General features: G+C 39.9%; 1 protein-coding gene across 32 annotated transcripts in view; it reads left to right on the top strand.

Moving 5' to 3' along the window:
* Positions 18-19,636, top strand: part of RIC3 (RIC3 acetylcholine receptor chaperone) — a 76,061-nt gene continuing 56,442 nt past the window's right edge. For 27 of the 32 annotated variants that reach the window (XR_001747957.3, XR_007062500.1, XR_428851.5 and 24 more), the window contains exon 1: positions 18-177. Coding sequence is in view for 9 of the 32 variants with exons in the window: in NM_001135109.4 (NP_001128581.1) it covers positions 54-177 (124 nt within the window). In the remaining 23 variants the exon portion in view is untranslated. Of the gene's footprint in view, positions 178-15,619; positions 15,669-19,636 lie in introns of all 32 variants that reach the window. The other 5 variants (NR_144485.2, XR_002957194.2, NM_001346692.2 and 2 more) reach the window with 1 other exon arrangement.

The raw sequence follows: 19,636 nt of genomic DNA, 5'->3' as shown, positions 1-19,636 counted from the left end.
GTTCCGGTTCCGGTTCCGGCTGGCGTCTGCACCTGCGACCACCGTGAGCAGTCATGGCGTACTCCACAGTGCAGAGAGTCGCTCTGGCTTCTGGGCTTGTCCTGGCTCTGTCGCTGCTGCTGCCCAAGGCCTTCCTGTCCCGCGGGAAGCGGCAGGAGCCGCCGCCGACACCTGAAGGTAAGAGCAGGCCAGCTCCCTCTGAGCTTCCCGGCGCCGAAGAGTACGGAGAACGCTGCTTGAGGGAGGGGTGACTCTGAGAGTCTGCAGCCTTCACCGAAATATCCACCAAACTGACTGGAGAGGGCGGGCGAGACGGCGTTGAAGGGCCAATGCCCACGGTTCCGTTGTTATCAGCGGGTGGCGGCCCAGATGGTTCTGCTGCTGGAAGGGTCAGGAACGTATGCATGCAGGTCTGTGCATCCTCTAGGTGGCCTTGCGTACTCCCGTTTAGGCGCAGTCCCTTCTCTCTTACCCCGCTGGCTTAACTCATCTCGTCACCATTTGTTCACGTGCTTTGAGTCAAGGGTTCCCAGTTGGGTTTCCCTCTTTAGGTTTTCCGTGTACTTTCTGACGCGCCGCTTGGTACGAAATCAAGGCAAATGGAATTGGTACAGCAAACCTTAAGTCGTTATGTTTTTTCAACTTGGTGCTGGGCGCTCACTGCTTCAGGCTCTTCTTGTGCCTTTAAAAATATATCTTGAAGATTTTAATAACCCCAGTTTCAGTTACTGAGGTGGTTATGAACAAATTATTACGTTCCCCTTATTGAAACAGTATTTATCTGTTAATTCTTCGTTGTTGGCATGATGTATGTGGTGTTTAAAAATTCATCCTCTTAGCTGCACTGGGGCCTTTTACAGAATGAGTGTAAAGGCACGGTGCTGAAGGCTGGGAGAAGGAACCAGAACAGTTTTCTATAGGTCATGAAGTTCTACTGGTAACTTTCTCCTGTAAATTATCCTTGTAATATCTTTGAGACATGATTTTACGGTGTCTGAACACTTCCAGTAATGTTTAAACTGTTGATTGCTGGACAGCTCCTTTTGAACTGTAATCCACTTCCGTCTGCTTTATGCACATTGACTGTAGTTCCATTCTCTTGAGCATCATACACACTATAAATGCAAAGCACCAAGCTTTAGGGGTGGAGGGCAGGTTGAACACATAATTCTGTTTACAGAATTTGCCTGATAATCTTTATGCTTGTAAGACTATCCACTTGGGACGGACTTCTAAAACATCTTTGCGTATTTGTTCTTTTTTTTTCCTTTCTGTCTTATTGCAATAATCCCAAAGATTTTTACCTGCTTTGTCTAATGATATTGTCTACTTTGAAGAAGAGTCAATTCATGATGATCCTGAACAGTGAAGATTCTTCGAAAACTTTTTTTTTTTTTTTTTTACTTTCCATTATGGTGAATTATCTTGAACAAGTACTATTGACTGTGAGTGGGAGACACTCTTCTGAACGTTGTAGAAAATGTAGAGTGGAGATTAGACATGGGTTGTTCCCTTGAGAACTCAAGTGTTGGTATTCAGTGTTCTCATGTTAGGATCTTTGTACCTTCAGTTCTCTTTATTCCTGAAGTGCTGTGCTTTTCCCTCAGTGCCCTTCTCATCATTCAAATTTCTGCTCAAATGAAACCTCCTCAGAGAGACTTCCCCTGATGACACTAACTAAAATAACTCTTTTCTCCCATCATTCTCTATTTTATCATGTTTTATATTCTTCATGATAGGCATCACTATATGATATGGAATATTCTTAAGTGTTTACTTGTTTGTTTTTTTGTCTTCACCTTCTAGAATGTAAGTTTGCAAGGGTAGGGACTTTGTCTTGTTTACCACTGTTTCTTCAGTACCTGGCATATAATGGGCAGTCAATAAATACTTTAAGATTATTAAGCTACCAATACTGTAAATTCTGTTTTTGACAAGGAGAAGCTACTGAAGTAGTATAACCTAGGAAAAAACTTACCTTGAATGGTACATTCCAGTAACTGAAACTTGCAGCAAAAAATCTTAACCATTTTGGGGTTACATACACCATTGAGAATCTTATAAAAGCTATGTATTTTCTTTCTTTCTCTCTCCTTCCTCCCTCTGTCCCTCCCTCCCTCCTTTCCTCTCTTCCTGGCCCCCTTTCCCTTTCTCTTTCCCTTTCCCTGGGTCTCACTCTGTCACCCAGGCTGGAGTGCAGAGTCATGATCACAGCTCACTGCAGCCTCTACTTCTAGGGCTCAACTGATCCTCCCACCTCAGCCTCCCAAGTAACTGGGACTACAGGCACATGCCACCATGCCTGGCTAATTAAAAAAAATTTTTTTTGTTTTTGGTTGAGATGGGGGTCTCATTGTATTGTCCAGGCTGGTGTCGAACTCGTGGGTTCAAGTGATCCTTCTGCCTCAGCCTTCCAAAGTGCTGGGATTACAGGCTTGAGCAACTGCACTCAGCCTAAAACTGTATGTTCTCTCTAGAAAAAGGTACATACTCTTATTGTACTCAGAATTTCAGTATCAATTCAGAGAATTCTCAGAACCCAGAAATCCCTGCTTTGAAGAAAGGAATAACCCTGAGTATTTGAAAATTCTTAAAAATACATGTTGTTATGTCTTCCATTTTTGCCCATTGATGTGCATGAAACAAGCACAGTTCCCTTTCCACATGAAAGCCTTTAAGATAGTCTTTTAACAAATATTTATGATGTACCATATCACATACTGTGCACATAGTGTATAGACACTATGTATTCCAAGAAAAAATGAGCGAACTCCATGCTTTGAGGCGGCCACAGTTTAGTAAAGGAAAGTAGACATGTCAACAGATAAATGCAAAACAGACATGTTAGCAGATAAATGCAAGAGTGTCAGTCACAGTTACTCAAGTCTGCGCAGGGAACAATGGAGACATGTATGCAATGGTCAGTGTTATTGGGACTTAAGAAGGGTTTCATAAACCAGGTGTGACAGCTCATGCCTGTAATCCCAGCATTTTGAAAGGCTGTGGTGGAAGGATTGCTTGAGCCTGGGAGTTCGAGACCAGCTTGGGCCACATAACAAGACCCCCATCTCTACAAAATAAGTTTGTTTTTTTTCAATTAGCTGGGCATGGTGGTGTGCACCTGTAGCCCCAGCTACTCTGTAGGCTGAGGTGGGAGGATCGTTTGAAGTTTGGAGGTCAAGGCTACAGTGAGGTGTGATTGTGTAACTGCACTGCAGCCTGGGCAACACAGTGAGACTCTGCCAAAAAAAAAAACAAAACAAAACAAAAAAAAAACCCCAAAAAACAGGTTTCATAGAACATAGAGGAGGGAAGTCTTTTTTTTTTTTGATAACAGCTTTCTTGAGATCTAATTTATATATCATACAATTCACCCACTTAAAGTGTACAATTTATTGGGTTTCAGCATATTCAGAGTTGTACAACCATCACTACAACCAATTTTAGAATATTTCTTCAGCCCCCAAAGAAACCCTGTACTTTTTAGCTATTACTCCACAAATCCCCCAGCCCACCTCCAGCCCTAGGCAACCACTCATCTACTTTATGTCTCTATAGATTTGCCTGTTCTGGACATTTGGTATAAATGAAATCATATAATATCTGATCTTTTGTGACTGACGTCTTTTAACTAGCATAATGTTTTCAAGGTTCATCCATGTTGTAGCATGTAGCAGTACTTTTTTTATGGCTGAATAATATTTCATTGTGTGGATATACCACATTTCATTTATTCATTAATCAATTGATGGACATTGAATTTTTGCCTTTTAGCTATTATGAATAATGTTGCTACTGATATCTGTGTACAAATTTTTGTGTAGACTTAATGTTTTCATTTCTCTTGAGTGTATACATTTGGAAAATGTGAGCATTCCAGTGTGGCTGGAACTAAGCGTGGAATTTCTAGGTTGTATGGTTATTACATGTTTAACCTTTTGAGGAACTGCCAGACCATTTTCCAAAGCAGCTGTACCATTTTACATGACCACCAGCAGTGTAAGAGGGCTTCTGGTTTCTTGTCAATACTTGTTTGTTATCTGTCTTCTTGATGATAGCCATCCTAGTAGGAATGAAATGGTATCTCATTGTGATTTTATTTGCATTTCCCTGATGACTAATGACATTGAGCATTTTTTGTGTGTTTATTCACTCTTTGTCTATTTGTATATCTTGTTTTGGAGAAATGTCTATTCAGGTCCTTTTAACCCTCTTTAAAAGTCAGATTACTTGTCTTTTTTTTTTTTTTTTTTTTTTTTTTGAGAGAGACAGGGTCTCACTCTGGTGCACAGGCTGGAATACAGTGGTGCCATCATTGCTCACTGTAGCCCCAAACTCCTGGGCTCAAGTGATTCTCCCACCTTACCCTCCCAGGTAACTAGGACTACAGGTGTGTGCCACCATAGCTGGCTAATTTTTAAATTTTTTGGCAGAAATGAGGCTCTCACTATATTTCCCAGGCTGGTCTTGAACTTCTGGCCTCAAGTGATCCTCCCACCTTGGCCTCCTGAAGCACTGGTATTACAGGTGTAAGCCACCACACTTGGCGTCTTGTCTTTATTGTTGAGTTGTAAGAGTTCTTTGTATATTCTAGGTACAAATCTATTATCAGATATATGATTTGCAAATATTTTCTTCCATTCAGTGGTTGCCTTCACGTTCTTGATGGTGCCCTTTGAATAAGAAAAGTTTTACATTTTCTCTGACAAAGTCCAATTTATCTACTTTTTTCTTTTGTTTCTCCTGCTTTTGGTGTCATATCTGAGACAAATTGCCAAATCCAAGGTCATGAAGATTTATGCCTATGTTTTCAAGTTTTATAGTTTTTGCTCCTGCAGTTAAGTCTTTGATCCCTTTGAATTAATTTGTGTATATGGGTAAGGTAGGAGTCCAACTTCATGTGGATATATAGTTGCCCCAGCACCATTTGTTGAAAAGACTCTTCTTTTCTCATTAAATTGTTCTGGCACCCATGTCAAATCAGTTGACTCTAAATGTAAGAGTTTGTTTCTGGACTCTCAATTATATTACATTAATCTGTATACTTATCCTTAGCCAGTACCATGCTGTCTTAATTATTGTAGTTTTCTAAGTTATGAAATCGTGAAATGTGTCCTCAAACTTTGTTCTTCTTTTTCAAGATTGTTTTGCTATTTTGGGTCCTGTGACCTAGCATTTCCATAGGAATTTTGGATCATCACTTTGGTTTCTGCCAAAAAAAAAAAAAAAAATGCCAGTTGGGATTTTGATAGAGTGAACTGAAGCAATTTGGAGAGTACTGCCATCTTACCAATATTAAATCTTTCAATCTATGAACAGAGGATTTCTTTTTTATTTATCTAGGTCTTTAATTTATTTTAAAGGAGATTGTAGTTTTTAGTGTGAAAGTCTTATTTTGTTAAATATATTCATAAGTATTTTATTCTTTTTGATGTTGTTATAAATTTTGTTTTCAGATTGTTCCTTAGTGTATAGACAATTAGTTTTTGTATATTGATACTGTATCTTGTCACCTCGCTGAACTTGTCTGCATATAGAGATAGTTTTACTTTTTTTTTTAATCTGAATGCCTTTTATTTTTATTTTTACTTTTTTTGGCCTAACTGCCCTAGCTGGAACCTTTAGTGCAATGTTGAATAGAAGTGGTAAGAACAAACATCCTTTCTTGTCCTTGATCTTAAGAAGTATGCTTTACTAGCATATGTAATGTTATCTGGGGGCATTTCGTAGATGCCTGTTTTCAGGTTGAGGAAGTTCCCTTGTATTCTTAGTTTGCTGAGTGTTTTTCATTATGAAGGGGTATTGAATTTTATCAAATACTTTTTTTCTATGTCTGTTGAGATGATTATGAGATGATTATGTGAGTTTTGTCCTTTACTGATGTGGCATATTACATTAATTGAAATTTAGATGTTAACCCAGCTTTACCTTCCTTGGCTAAATTGAGGAGGCAGTTCTTAAAGTGTTTTGGGGGGTGTGTGTGTGTGTGTATGTGTGTGTGTGTGTGTGTGTGTGTGTGTGTGTTTAAATAATCCAGATGAAAAAGAAGGGCATTCTAGGTAGAAGAAATACTGAGCAAAGAAACACAGAGGCTTAGGGCCAGGCACGGTGGCTCATGTCTATAATCCCAGCACTTGGGGAGCCCAAGGCAGGCAGATTGCTTGAGGCCAGGAGTTCGAGACCAGCCTGGCCAACACGGAGAAACCCCGTCTCTACTAAAAATATAAAAATTAGCCCAGTCTGATGGTGCACGCCTGTAATTCCAGCTACTTGGGAGGCTGAAGCAGGAGAATTGCTTGAACCTGGGAGTTGGAGGTTGCAGTGAGCTGAGATCCCACCACTGCATTCCAGCCTGGGCGACAGAGTGAGACTCTGTCTCAAAAAAAGAAAAAAAAAAAAAAAAAAAAAAAAAAGAAGAAGCATGGAGCCTTGAAGTATCCTCAGAGTTGTGAGAGAAGACACCAGAGAAGTTGGCACGGGCCAAATTGTGAAGGTTTTTTTCTGTCATTCTTAAGGAGATTGGGTTTTATTCTAAAGGCAGATGAGGCATCATTGAGTGTGTAAGGAGAAGAGAAACATTTAACCTGGTTTTAGAAAGGACACCCTGGCAGCAGTGTAGACACTGCGTTGTGAGGATTTCTTCAGGGAGAAGATTGTTGTAGTCATCCAGTTGAGACATCATGAGCATCACCAAGTCATTGTCATTGGGTTCACCAGTTAGGGTGCTTGTGACAAGTGACAGAAAAGTCAGCTTGACTAAGACAGGGAATTTATTGACTTGTGTAAATGAAAAGACCCTGTGTTAGAAATGTCTTGCAGTATGGTTTGAACCAGAGACTCACAGTTGTCACACTGGGGCTCTAGCTCTTATTTTCTGTGTCCTTTTCACTCTGGGTTCGTTCTCAAGTTGGTTCTGTGCTCTGGCTGCCCTCTCAGGGTGGTAGCAATGGTTGCAACAGTTTCGGACATTACCTCCTCACATTCCATTGCCCGGAGAAAGTGAGTGTCTCATTTATAGCAACAGTTTCGGACATTACCTCCTCACATTCCATTGCCCGGAGAAAGTGAGTGTCTCATTTATAGCAACAGTTTCGGACATTACCTCCTCACATTCCATTGCCCGGAGAAAGTGAGTGTCTCATTTATAGCAACAGTTTCGGACATTACCTCCTCACATTCCATTGCCCGGAGAAAGTGGGAGTGTCTCATTTATATACGTGTGTGTGTAGAGCTGGCCTGGAACTCCTGGCCTCAAGTCATTGTCCCACCTCAGCCTCCTAACGTGCTGGGATTACAGCACTTTGCTGGGCACAGCTCCAGGCCTCTTTTCTTTTAAGTCCTCCATCACTCTCACCTTCCAGCCTCACTCCCAAGATTCTTTCCCAGAAGTTCCAGCAAACATATCCGTTCACGTTAATGGCTTGAATTAAGTTAACTTGTGGTGCTGTGGGTAGAAAGAATATACTGATGAATCCACTCTGGAGTTGAGAGGAGTTCCCAAAGGAAAATATGGATATTAGAGCAAGAGAGGTTATCAATGGATAGATTGGAGGGAAGAGAATAATTTTAAGAGACATTTTAAAATAGAATGGGAAAGTGAGGGAGAGGGAGACATCTGGATTATTCTCAGGTTTAGGTGAAGGGATAGATGTTGATTTCCTTTGCCAAAATAGGAATGGAGGAAAAGTAGATTAAAGGTGTGTGAAAAGAAAATAAAAACTTGGGACCCCAGTTCACTATGCCAAAAGGAAAAAATTAAGCTGAAAGCTGAGTCGTGCAAGAAACTGCCTTTCCTTTTGTTCCTAAGCAGGTAGCTACAGATAAAAAATTAAATATCTCTACAGGTAGCTACTCTATGTTCACCGTATCTTACGTGAAGTGCCGATTTACTGAGCACCAGATGAATACATAATTGACTATTCCTCTACCTGCTCCTTTTCTCTTGCAACATATAGATTACCATACCCTTCTTTCCCCTCCAGCTCACTTTTCCCCTTGAAATATTGAAGCCCTCAAAATCATCTTTGGAGAAAGGCACAGACCTCTCTCCTGGGCGTGTCCTTAACGTTGGCAAAATAAACTTCTAAATTGATTGAGGCCTGTCCCAGATACTTTTTGGTTTACAGGTGTAAGATGATTAATCCAGGAATTGGAAAAGTAGTATTATGTCCCTTTCTTCAGTCTTCTTTCCTGTGTTAACATCCCTAGCTCCCTCATCCGTTCCTGGTATGACCTAGGTGCAAGTGTTTGAACACAGCCCTCTCAGAAGAGGCTCTTAGAACTGCAAATAACAGCATATCTAAGACAGTTCATGAAAGAGCAATCTGTTGTTTCCCTGCACTCTTCTTCTTCTATACTTAATGCTTTCTGGGGATTGCTCTAGTTTTTAGCATTTTCCTTGCTGACTTTGCTGTATATTAGAATTCTGAGCCTTTTTTTCTTCTTTTTAATAGGAGCTGCTCATCTAGGTTTTGTTCATTTTCTACTGTTCACTTGATGTTTCGGAATGAAATGTAGGAATTTGTAGTTTTCCTTGTTGCATTTTATTTGTTTAAATTTGGCCAAGAATTCTAGCTCTTGAAATTTTTTCAGAGCATTCAATGTTTCATTCAATGTATCTGCTTACCATTTCTTAGCTGTGTGCCATTCTTGATTTTTAAAAAACTTTTTGTTAAAGACATTTTCAAACATAAGCAAAAGTTGAGAGAGTAGTAAAATGAATCCATATCATCCTGCTTCAGCAGCCATCAATACATGGTCAGTCTTGTGTCATGGGTATCCCCACCCACTTTTCCCCCCATTCACTGGATTATTTTGAAGCAAATCCTAGACATTGGATCATTTTTCATCCTTAAATGCTTCAGTATGCATCTCTAAAAACAGATTCTTATTAAAATGTAGCCACAATACCATTGTCACACCTAAAAAGTCAATACTTCCTTGATGTCATTAAATATCTAGTTGGTGTTCAAATTTTTCCCACCATGTTATAATTTTTCTTTTTTTCTTTCTTTTTTTACAATTTTACCTTTGATTATGATCAGCATGTTTTCTCTTTTTGTTTGTTTTTTCTCAGGCTGGAGTGTAGTGGCAGGATCTGAGTTCACTGCAACCTCTGCCTCCCAAGTTCAAGCAATTGTCCTGCCTCATCCTCCTGAGAAGCTGGGATTACAGGCATCCACCACCACGCCTGGCTAATTTTTTTTGTATTTTTAGTAGAGACGGAGTTTCACCATGTTGGCCAGGCTGGTATCGAACCCTTGACCTCAGATGATCTGCCTGCCTTGGCCTCCCAGAGTGCTGGAGTTACAGACATGAGCCACCATGCCCAGCCTCAGCATGTTTTCTTGATAGGTCAAATTATTTTTTTAAATGTCTTAGTCATTTAAAACTGCTTTTAGAGTCCCACCACTGTATTCATGGAAACGTTTTGTTTAGGGTCATTCAACCAGTTGGTTATTTGGTTGCTCTATTCCATCTTACTCTGTCACCCTGGTTTGCCTCCTTCCTCCTTCCCCACTTCAGTCTATTCTCAATATAGCTGCCAGATAGTATTATGTTGAAGCTTAAGTCAACTCACATCTCTCCCCTCCTCAAAACTCTACAGTGGCTTCCTGGCTTAGATGAAAAGATAGTCTATACATGACCCAAAAGGCCCTATGTAATTCTCTTCCCCATTTGCTTCTACTTTTCTATCTGTCTCACTTTGTTGTGGCCACACTGGCTTCCTCCTCACTGTTCCTTGAATATGCCAAGCATGTTCCCACTTCAGTGCCTTTGCATTTGCTGTTTCCCTTGTTTGAAATGCTCTTCTTTTGGATATCCATGTGCCTTTCCCTTCGTCTTCATGTTTTCTCTCAAACTGCATTTCCTGATGCCTTCTCTGGCCATTCCAGCTAAAATCTTAACTTCCAACACGGTCCTACCCCTTCTCCCTGTCTTATTTTTTCTCCTTAGTATTTATCATTATCTTGTTTATTGTCTCTTTTCCTACTTAGAAAGGAGGCTCTGTGGCCGAGCGCGGTGGCTCACGCCTGTAATCCCAGCACTTTGGGAGGCCAAGGCGGGTGGATCACAAGGTCAGGATTTCAAGACCAGCCTGGCCAACATGGTGAAACGCCGTCTCTACTAAAAATACAAAAATTCTCTGGGCATGGTGGCAGATGCCTGTAATCCCAGCTATTCGGGAGGCTGAGGCAGAGAATTGCTTGAACCCAGGAGGCGGAGGTTGCAGTGAGCTGAGATCGTGCCACTGAAATGCAGCCTGGGTGACAGAGACTCCATCTCAAAATAAAACAAAAAACAAACAAAAAACTTCTTAACTCTGGCTTCCTAGAGTTTGTGCTACACGATTCCTACTTTGTTGTCAGAAACACTAAGATCTCATTCTCCTGAGGTTCTCCTTTCATTTCATCAGAGCTTCTTCTTTGATCAGAGTAGCAGTTCTTCTGCTCTCCCTGTGTACCTGTGGAACATAAAAATGTCAGCACACTTGGTCAAGAACTTGTCAGTTGTTCCATTGTCAGCTGAATGAGAGTTTGAATAGGTTGCAGGGTAGTTGAAGTACTCCAAGATGACAGTGTGCCACTCTGTGTTGGAGGTGGCTTCAAGAGAGTCCTATCTACTACTTCTACTTGGCTGGGAACCTTTGGTGTTCCCACAGTAACACTGTATCTGGGCATCTTTCCTGCTGACCCTGCCTGAATGCTTATAAATAGGGTTCCTTAGTAGCCCCTCTCCAGTGGCCCTGTTCCTGTGGAATAGCACAGACCCTTTGTCACGATGTTCTCCCTAAGTAAGTTGTGTCCCACTGAGTCTTAATCTCTCTGAGATGTGAAAATATACAGATACATGTATATGTGTATATAAATATACACATACAAACATATACACATATACATGTATGACATACATATACATACATAGTTCTGTGTTATCTTAAACTAGCTTCTTATGTGTTGGTATGTAAGTGCCTGAAGACAAATATATTATTTTGGTTGGTTACCATTTATTTTCCCTAATGAAGCATCAGAGATCTACTCTGAAGGAATGTTTGAAGGACAGAGATTAGGAAATCATTTTGATTTCAGAGGGTCATTTTCCTGTTCATGTATTATGGAAATGAACAGAAAACAACAGACAATTTGAGAGCCCATGAATGCGTGTAAATTAGGCATTTTTTCAAGTTTAGAAACGTACAGGTAAGTGGGTATGGAATACCTTGCTTGATCAGTCATCCTAATTGCCAGTTTCTATTCTAGAAACTATAAAATTGAAAACTGGCAGGATAATGAAGTAAAAAACTATTTTTAGCCCTACAAATGACTGGGCAGGATCTTGAGATTCTAATAAAGGCTAACACTCCCAGTATAATTCATCCAAATCAGGTCAGCAAAGATTGTAGTAGGCAAGATCCAGAGCCTGCCCTGGGAACCCAAACAAATAAAACACTAGGCCTTTATTCAAGAAGTTCTTAGTTTGTCTTCCAGCCGGAGACCACTAGGAACACACCTGTAGTTGAACAAGTTGAGTGTATTACTCATTGCAGCAAGGGAGAATGCACACCATGGGGAATTGTGGGGCATCTCAATAAGGCACTGTTAGAAAAAGTCATTATAGGATTTGGGTTTGTGTTAGGTGATCTGGAGGATGGTTTAAGGATGTGGTACTTTACTCTGAATTAGATGCTTTCAGGAAGTAAGGCAAATTCTAGGACTGGTATCTTAACAGTTTATCTAAAGGGAGGGCCAACTAGAGAAAGGCTAAAGCTGTAATTGATAAAGCAGCCCCATCGTTCACATTACTCAGCACTGGGGGATATTAGGTATTTAGTGGCTTGGACAGTGTTCATGTTTTGTCTGTGTTCAGACAGATTACTGAGTGGTCTTGTTTTTTGTCTTGATCCGTCATGATCACAGAATGGCCTTGTCTAATGTTGGTGTTCTGAAATAGCTTATGTGTAACAGGAGAACACCACAACTTATCTGTGAGTACCAAGCCAGCTCATAGCAGTATTAATGCCTAGTTGATAATACCAGGCCAACTTTTAGATGTTAGAGGCTGCTTTTCTAGTTCTCAGATATGATATACACCAAATAAAATTGGATAGAGATGGTGTTTAGTGGAAAATGTTACCTGTTTTTGTTTCCCGGTTCATTTAAGTACAGGCTATAAGACACATTAATAAAACTCTTGATTAAGGCCAAGTGTGGTAAGTGCAATTAAAGAGGCTCAAGCAGTGTGTTTTACAGGCATGGGGAATAGCATGAGAAAATGCTTCGGGGGCATGGGGGCAGTATCTGGCCTGGGCCTTGGAGGATTGGCTGGATTTAGATATGTGGAGTTGGAGAGGAAAGCAAAGCCACTGGAGGATAAGCATAGGCTCAGAAGCAAGAAGGTGAAAGTCAGGTTCAAAGCATGGTGAGAACCCTAGTTTGACTAAATGAGTGGTATGTAATGGGAAAGTAGTGTGAAGAGCACTTTTGGGTTAGATTATGGAATTCAGTTGTTTAGGAATTCAGTTTGTGGGGAGGGAAAATCAGAATTTGTTAAATACCTACTATATGTGCTAGGTGCTTTGTATATATGATATTATTTAATCTGTAATTCTTGTAAACTCTGGAAAGTAGATATCATGCCCATTTTACAGATGATGAAAATGAGCCCTAGAAAGATTAATTTAACCTCCACTGAAATAGTGGGAGGCACAGCCATAATCTTAACCAGTAACTGACTGAAAAGGTGGCACTCATTCCACTTCACTCTGCTACCTCCATTCTGCTGTAATACAGCCTCTTGTCATCAGTGGAAACTATTAGAAGCTTTTGATCAGAGAACTGGCAAGACCAGTTAGAATTGTGCTTTAGGAAGATTATTCTGGTAACAAAACAGTGGTAATTGATGTGTATTGAGTGTGTGGATCGGGCCCTGTGCTAAGCAACTTAGACACACAATGATCTCTTTTAGTAATATATAGGATGGATTGAGAATGGAGAGGTTGATAAAAGATGAAAGAAATCTGATTAAATTAGCAGAAAATGTGAAAGCAGTAGAGAACAAAGCAGAATCAGGTAGAAGGGAAATGTAACAAGATAGGGCCCTTGGAGGAGACCGGTGAGGAAGAAACAGCTATTGTCTTGGCTTCTACTTCAAGTAATGCTGAATCAAATATGGCTTCTACAGCTTCCTCAATATTTAGGGAAAAGCTTGGCTATCTTAAGCAACTGGCCCCCTTAAGACCTTTCTTGAACCGCTGTTTCTATTTTTTATTAAAATAGAAACATGTCCAGTTCTTTATAGATTTATTTGCCCCAAGAATGAAATGCTGCAGATGAGTTAATGTTGCTTTCAGAAAACTCTTTTGTTAACAGTGCTGAAGTTTCTGTTTTTGTTTTTAGCAATAGGTATGGTTATTAACAAAGGAAAGTAGAGCTTCACTTTGTAAAATCCATTTTCTTTTCTTTTTTTTTGAAACGGAGTCTCACTGTCACCTACGCTGGAGTGCAGTGGCGCGATTTTGGCTCACTGCAACCTCCGCCTCCCGGGTTCAAGCGATTCTCCTGCCTTAGCTTCCCGAGTAGCTGGGATTATAGGCATGTGCCACCATGCCCAGCTAATTTTTGTATTTTTAGTAGAGACGGAGTTTCACCGTGTTGGCCAAGCTGGTCTTGAACCCCTGACCTCAGGTGATCTGCCCGCCTTGGCCTCCCAAAGTGCTGGGATTACAGACGTGAGCCACCTCACCTGGCCAGAATCCATTGACATTAAGTTTTTAGTTAAGCTTAAATGATAACTTAAGTGAATTTTTTTTTTTTTTTTTTTTTTAAGATGGGGTCTCCTGTTGCCCAGGCTGATCACGCGGTGGTGTGATCATAGCTCACCACAGCCTCAAACTCCTGGGCTTGAGCAGTCCTTTTGCCTCAGCCTCCTGAGTAGCTGGGACTACAGGTGCATGCCACCACACCCGGCTGATTTATAAAAGTTTTTCGTAGAGAGGAGGTCTTGCCATCTTGCCCAGACTGGTCTTGAACTCCTGGGCTCAAGCAGTTTTCCCACCTCAGCCTTGCTAAATGCTGGGATTAAATTTTAATAATTAAGGAAACCTGAATATGGGCAAAGCTTTCAATAAACAATTAGGATTTAGTCATGTTCCCTTTTACAGAATACTTAAGTACCTATAGAGATAGTCACATAGCTGTTTTGTTTTCTAGATTAGAAAACCTACAGTTTTATGTTCTGATATCTTTATTCTGATCTCTTTAGCTGTTTTTAATAAAGCAAACTTAAAAAAACACAAATCTTATTTGTAATGTAACTGTGAACTAGAACATTTGTAATAGAGAAAAATTGAAAATAATCTAAATGTTTATCAGCAGAAAAAGGGGTAAATAAATTATAATATGGTCATACAATGTGATGCTATATTGCAGTTTAAATGAATCAACTAGAGCTATACATGTCAACATGGATACATTTGTTGGCCAAAGTGTTCATTCCCCACCTGGAAAAAAAGGCAGAAAAGGAAAGTTGGAGAAGCATGTGTCCAATATAATCCCATAATATAAAGGACTTTTTAAAATTGTGGTAACCATTTTTAGGTAAACAGTTCAGTAGCATTAAGTACATTCACACTGTTGTGCAACCGTCACCACTGCCTATACACAATATGAAGTTTTAAAACATTCAAGGCAATATTATATGTTGTTTATAGATGCTTATATATTGTTTATAGATGCATAGTTAATGCAATAAAATCTAAAAGCACGCATTCTGATAATAAGCACCAAAATCAGAATGGTGTTTATCTCAGAGAGGGTGTGGGGGAAAAGTACACAAGGGACTTCAGTTATATTTGGGCAGTGGATATACAAATGTTCATAAAGTATGTATACTTTTATATACCTGGCATATTTCATAGTTTCAAATTTTTCTTTTGTAAAAAAAAAATTCCCACTAGAAATTTCCAAATGTTTTATAATCATTGACTTTTTATAGATTCTGGGCTATTCAGTTTTAAGAAACATGGTGGTACCAAGATCCAAGAGGTGAGGTTGCTACCTGTAGAGGCCTGTTAACTTTACGAGAAGAGAAATCTTTGCCAAATGCAGCATTGTCATTGTTGCCTACCGTCTTAAGTGTCACAGGTAGCAGAGGTTGTAGGTCTCAAGCCTGAAGTTTGGAGAGAATGAATCTACAAAGAAAGGAAATACAAGAGGAGAGCAGGTTTTAGGAGGTGAAAATGAGTTCATTTTTAGGCTTGAGGTGGTAGACATACAAGAAGACATATATACTGATTGTATTAAGAAATAAGAGACAAGAGCTTGGGGGAAAAGTCAGAACTAGAAGTACACATTTTGGAAATTACAGTGTATTCCTTGAATAAATGAGTTTGCTGAAGGAAAGTATAAAGAAAGAACAGGCTGAGACAAAGTATTGGGGAAGGGGATTAAAGAAGAACCAGTGAAAGAGATTGAGAAGGAATAGGTTGAAGGACCAGTGGAAAAAGAGAAGAGTAATGTGCCATAGAGATTAAGGCAGGAAAATTTGACAAGGATTTATTCAGATTAATCCAATATTTATTGAATGACCACTATGTGATAATTACTTTTTTGTATTGCAGAAAACTAAGAGTGAGAACTGACAAAAAGCCATTGGATTTGACGGTTAAGGTAGAGTTACCATGTCATTGTAACTATGCTCCCTGTCTGTAAACTCTTTTTAAAGACAGAGATTCTGTTCTATTTGTCATTCTAATCTCAGAGCCTGACATAGTGTCTGTCACATTGTTAAGTGCTCAGCAGTAAATATGTGAACAATAATACCGCATGTAAAGTACTCAGATTTCTTCTAGGATATAAAACATATTTTTTGCTATCTAGTCTATATGTTCCATTGCTCTCCAAATCCCTCTTCTGTCTTTGAAAATAGTATTTTTTACTTTTTCAACATCTCTTTGATGTTATCAATAACCTTAATTCTAATACAGGTTTCCTTATCAATTAACTTCTTTAATCAGTTCTAACATAGGTTTCTTTGGACCTCATCATGTTTTATTCAGCATTGCTTTTTGAAACCCTATTTTTTGTTTTCTTTCTTTCTCCTGTTACTCACTCATCAACTCTATATAAAGACAGTCCTATCAGTCAGAGCTGTGTAGAGGTAGGATGAGCTTCCTGGAGAAAGCATTGTTTTCTATCCTGAGGTATTCAGCAGAATTAGGACCACAATTTGAAGCATATGAGAGTATCAAACACAGGTGGTTAGACTAGCTGTCTTTAAAAAAAAAAAGCTTTATTGAGACGTAATTTACATATGCAATTCACCTATTTAAGATGTACAGTCACTGTAGTTTTTAGTATATTCGTAGAGTTGTGCAACTATCACTACAGTCAATTTTAGAACTTTTTAAATCACACACCTCCCCACCAAAAACCTCATACACATTAGGCAGTCACTTTTTCCTTCCTCTGCACCCCTCCAAACCCCAGCTCTAGGTAATCACTAGTCTACTTTCTGTCCTATAGACTTGACTATCCTGGATATTTCTTATTAATGGAACCATATAATATGTGGTTTTCCATGACTGGCTGTATTCACTTATAATATTTTCGGAGTTCATCCATGTTGTAGTATGGATCAGTACTTTATTCCTTTTTATGGCTGGATAATACTGTGTTGTGTGGATATACTACATTTTGTTGATCTATTCATAAGTTGATGGACATTTAGATACTATGAATAATGCTGCTGTGAACATTTGTGTACAAGTTTTTGTGTGAGCATATTCCTGGCTGTATACCTAAGAGTGGAATTTCTGGGTCACATGGTCCTCTATGTTTAACCTTTTGAGAAACTGCCAGACTGTTTTCCAAAGCAGCTGCACCATTTTACATTCCCACTAGCAGCGTATGAGAGTTCCTTTTTCTTTACATCCCTCAAACACTTGCTATTATCTTTTTCATTATAGCCATCCTAGTTAGTGTGAAGTGGTATCTCCTCGTGAGTTTGATTTGCATTTCCTTGGTGGCGAATGGTGTTAAGCATCCTTTCCTGTGCTTATTGGACATTTGTTTGTCTTCCTTGGAGAAATGTCTATTCAGATCCCTTGCTCTTTTTTTTTTTTTTTTGAGACCGAGTCTCACTTCTGTCCCCCAGGCTGGAGTGCAGTGGTGTGATCTCTGCTCATCGCAACCTTTGTCTCCTGGGTTCAAGCGATTCTCCTGCCTCAGCCTCCCAAGTAGCTGGAATTACAGGCATGCACCACCACGCCCATGTAATTTTTTTGTATTTTTAGTAGAGACGAGGTTTCACCATGTTGGCCAGGCTGGTCTTGAACTCCTGACCTCAAATGATCTGCCCACCTCAGCCTCCCAAAGTGATGGGATTACAAGCATGAGCCCCCACACCTGGCCACAGTTGTTTATTTTTACTTGGTTTATTTGTCTTTTTTTTTTTTTTGAGACGGAGTTTCACTCTGTCGCCCAGGCTGGAGTGCAGTGGCGCGATCTCGACTCACTGCAAGCTCCGCCTCCCGGGTTCACGCCATTCTCCTGCCTCAGCCTCCCGTGTAGCTGGGACTACAGGCACGCGCCACCATGCCCGGCTAATTTTTGTATTTTTAGTAGAGACGGGGTTTCACCGTGTTAGCCAGGATGGTCTCGATCTCCTGACCTCGTGATCCGCCCGTCTCGGCCTCCCAAAGTGCTGGGATTACAGGCGTGAGCCACCGCGCCCGGCCTATTTGTCTTTTTAATGTTGCGTGGTAAGAATTCTTTATATATTTTGGATACTAACCCTTTTCAGATACATGATTAGCAAATATTTTCTCCCACTCAGTGGGTTGTCTTCACTTTCTTAATGGTGTCATTTGCAGCACCAGAGTTTAAAATTTTGATGACATCAACTTTGCCTACCTTTTGTTTTGTTGTTTGTGCTTTTGGTGTCCTGTCTAAGAAACTGTCACCTAATCCACAGTCACAAGGATTTATGTCTATGTTTTCCTGTAAGATTTTAAAGTTTCAGCTCTTATAATTAGGTCTTTCATCCATTTTGAGTTAATTTCTGTATATGGTATGAGATAGGGGTCCAATTTTATTCTTTTACATGTGAATATCTACCTGTCCCCACACCACTTATTAAGACTGGATGACTTTTAAGGCCCCCTTTGACTCTGAGGCTTTGTAGTACTTTGGTTTCTGTTATTGTCTAAACAGGTGGACAGTCAGGATTTCATGTTATGGCCATCCATTTCTCAAGAATATATTGTGTCTGAAAACAAGGATTGCCATTAGTTTATGTGTTTCCAGGCTTCTCAGTTGCCTTCAATTTCATCCTCCTCTGACTTTTATGGTATTAGTTTGTTTCTAGTCATCTTTGGCTAGCGCATTTTTCTTTTCTTTCTCTTTTTTCCACATAAATACAATATTCTTCCAGCCTTTTGGTATTGGGAACCATTCACTCAATTTTAATTAGCTTTGTCATTTAGGTAGCTTAGAGTTTCCTCTTAAGCCTAACTGCAGTCTAATAAAAAAAAAATTCTGTATTCCATCAACAACTGGAATATAATGTGTGAAAAATGTATATTCAGTTGTTCCCTAACAGTAAGCCTTCCAAGTTTCTTCATTATCTTCTCTATCTTAAACTCTTGATCTTGGAGTTTTCTGACAACTCCTCCATGAGCTCTATTTTTGTTCAGTGTTAAATGGCACTGATTACATGGTAATAAACCTTGGACATGTTAACTTAAAAAATATGATTTATAAATTGAGAAGAGAAGAGGAGACTTTATTTCTTATAAAGGGTTACAACCTTCAGGGTGGCCATTCTGACAGGCTGGGAAGTGTAGCCTCCAGCCAGAAGCAAAAACATACACTTGGAGGGATGGGCAAAGGGAACAGGAATTCATGCTGAGCAGGGTGGCCGTATATACATATTCAATAAGCTGTAGGGGGAGTCATGAATATTTATGAAAGGAGAAACACGTCCTTCATGGGTCTTATACACACAAAATGGCAGTAATAGCGTGGTCAGAGAGTGGAGTTTTCAGCCCTCTGACATCAAAAGGTGAAGCAGAAGACATGAAAGCCCTTACTGTACATTCTCTGTAGACCAGCCAGAACCATTCTGTGGTTGGTAGTCTCTTATCAGGCAAAAAAGGAGGGACAGTATCAGGTGGTTGGTTGATAGCAGTGGTGGATTTTTTTGAAATGGCTAGTTTCTGTTTGGTAGTTAGAGAAGAAAGGCTAATCGTGGTTTGCGAGGGAAGGGGTATAATGAGGTGGGTTTGAACCCCCCATCCCGTCATAGCCAAGAATTTAGTTTTCAAGGTTACTTTGGGGTCCCGTTGGCCAAGAGATGACCCATCAGTCAGTTGGTGGGCTTAGAATTTTATTTTTAGTTTATAGACCTATCCTTTCCTTTTTATAGCTCTAGCCACCACCTCAGTGATTTGCATCTCAGTGCTAAGTTACTGTAATAGCCTTTTTGACGTTTTCCCAGACCCTAGTTTCTGTCTATATTAGAGCCTATATTCTGCTGCTGGATTAATCCCCATCAAGTACCCTTCTCATCAAGGTCCACTGTATCAAATTTATATATCACACAAGTTAGCATTTTAACTCCTCCCCATCTTTACTTC

The sequence above is a fragment of the Homo sapiens genome, chromosome 11 (genome assembly GCF_000001405.40).
Source record: "Homo sapiens chromosome 11, GRCh38.p14 Primary Assembly".
Taxonomy (NCBI): Eukaryota; Metazoa; Chordata; class Mammalia; order Primates; family Hominidae; genus Homo; species Homo sapiens.
This window is presented reverse-complemented; position numbering and strand designations above follow the sequence as displayed.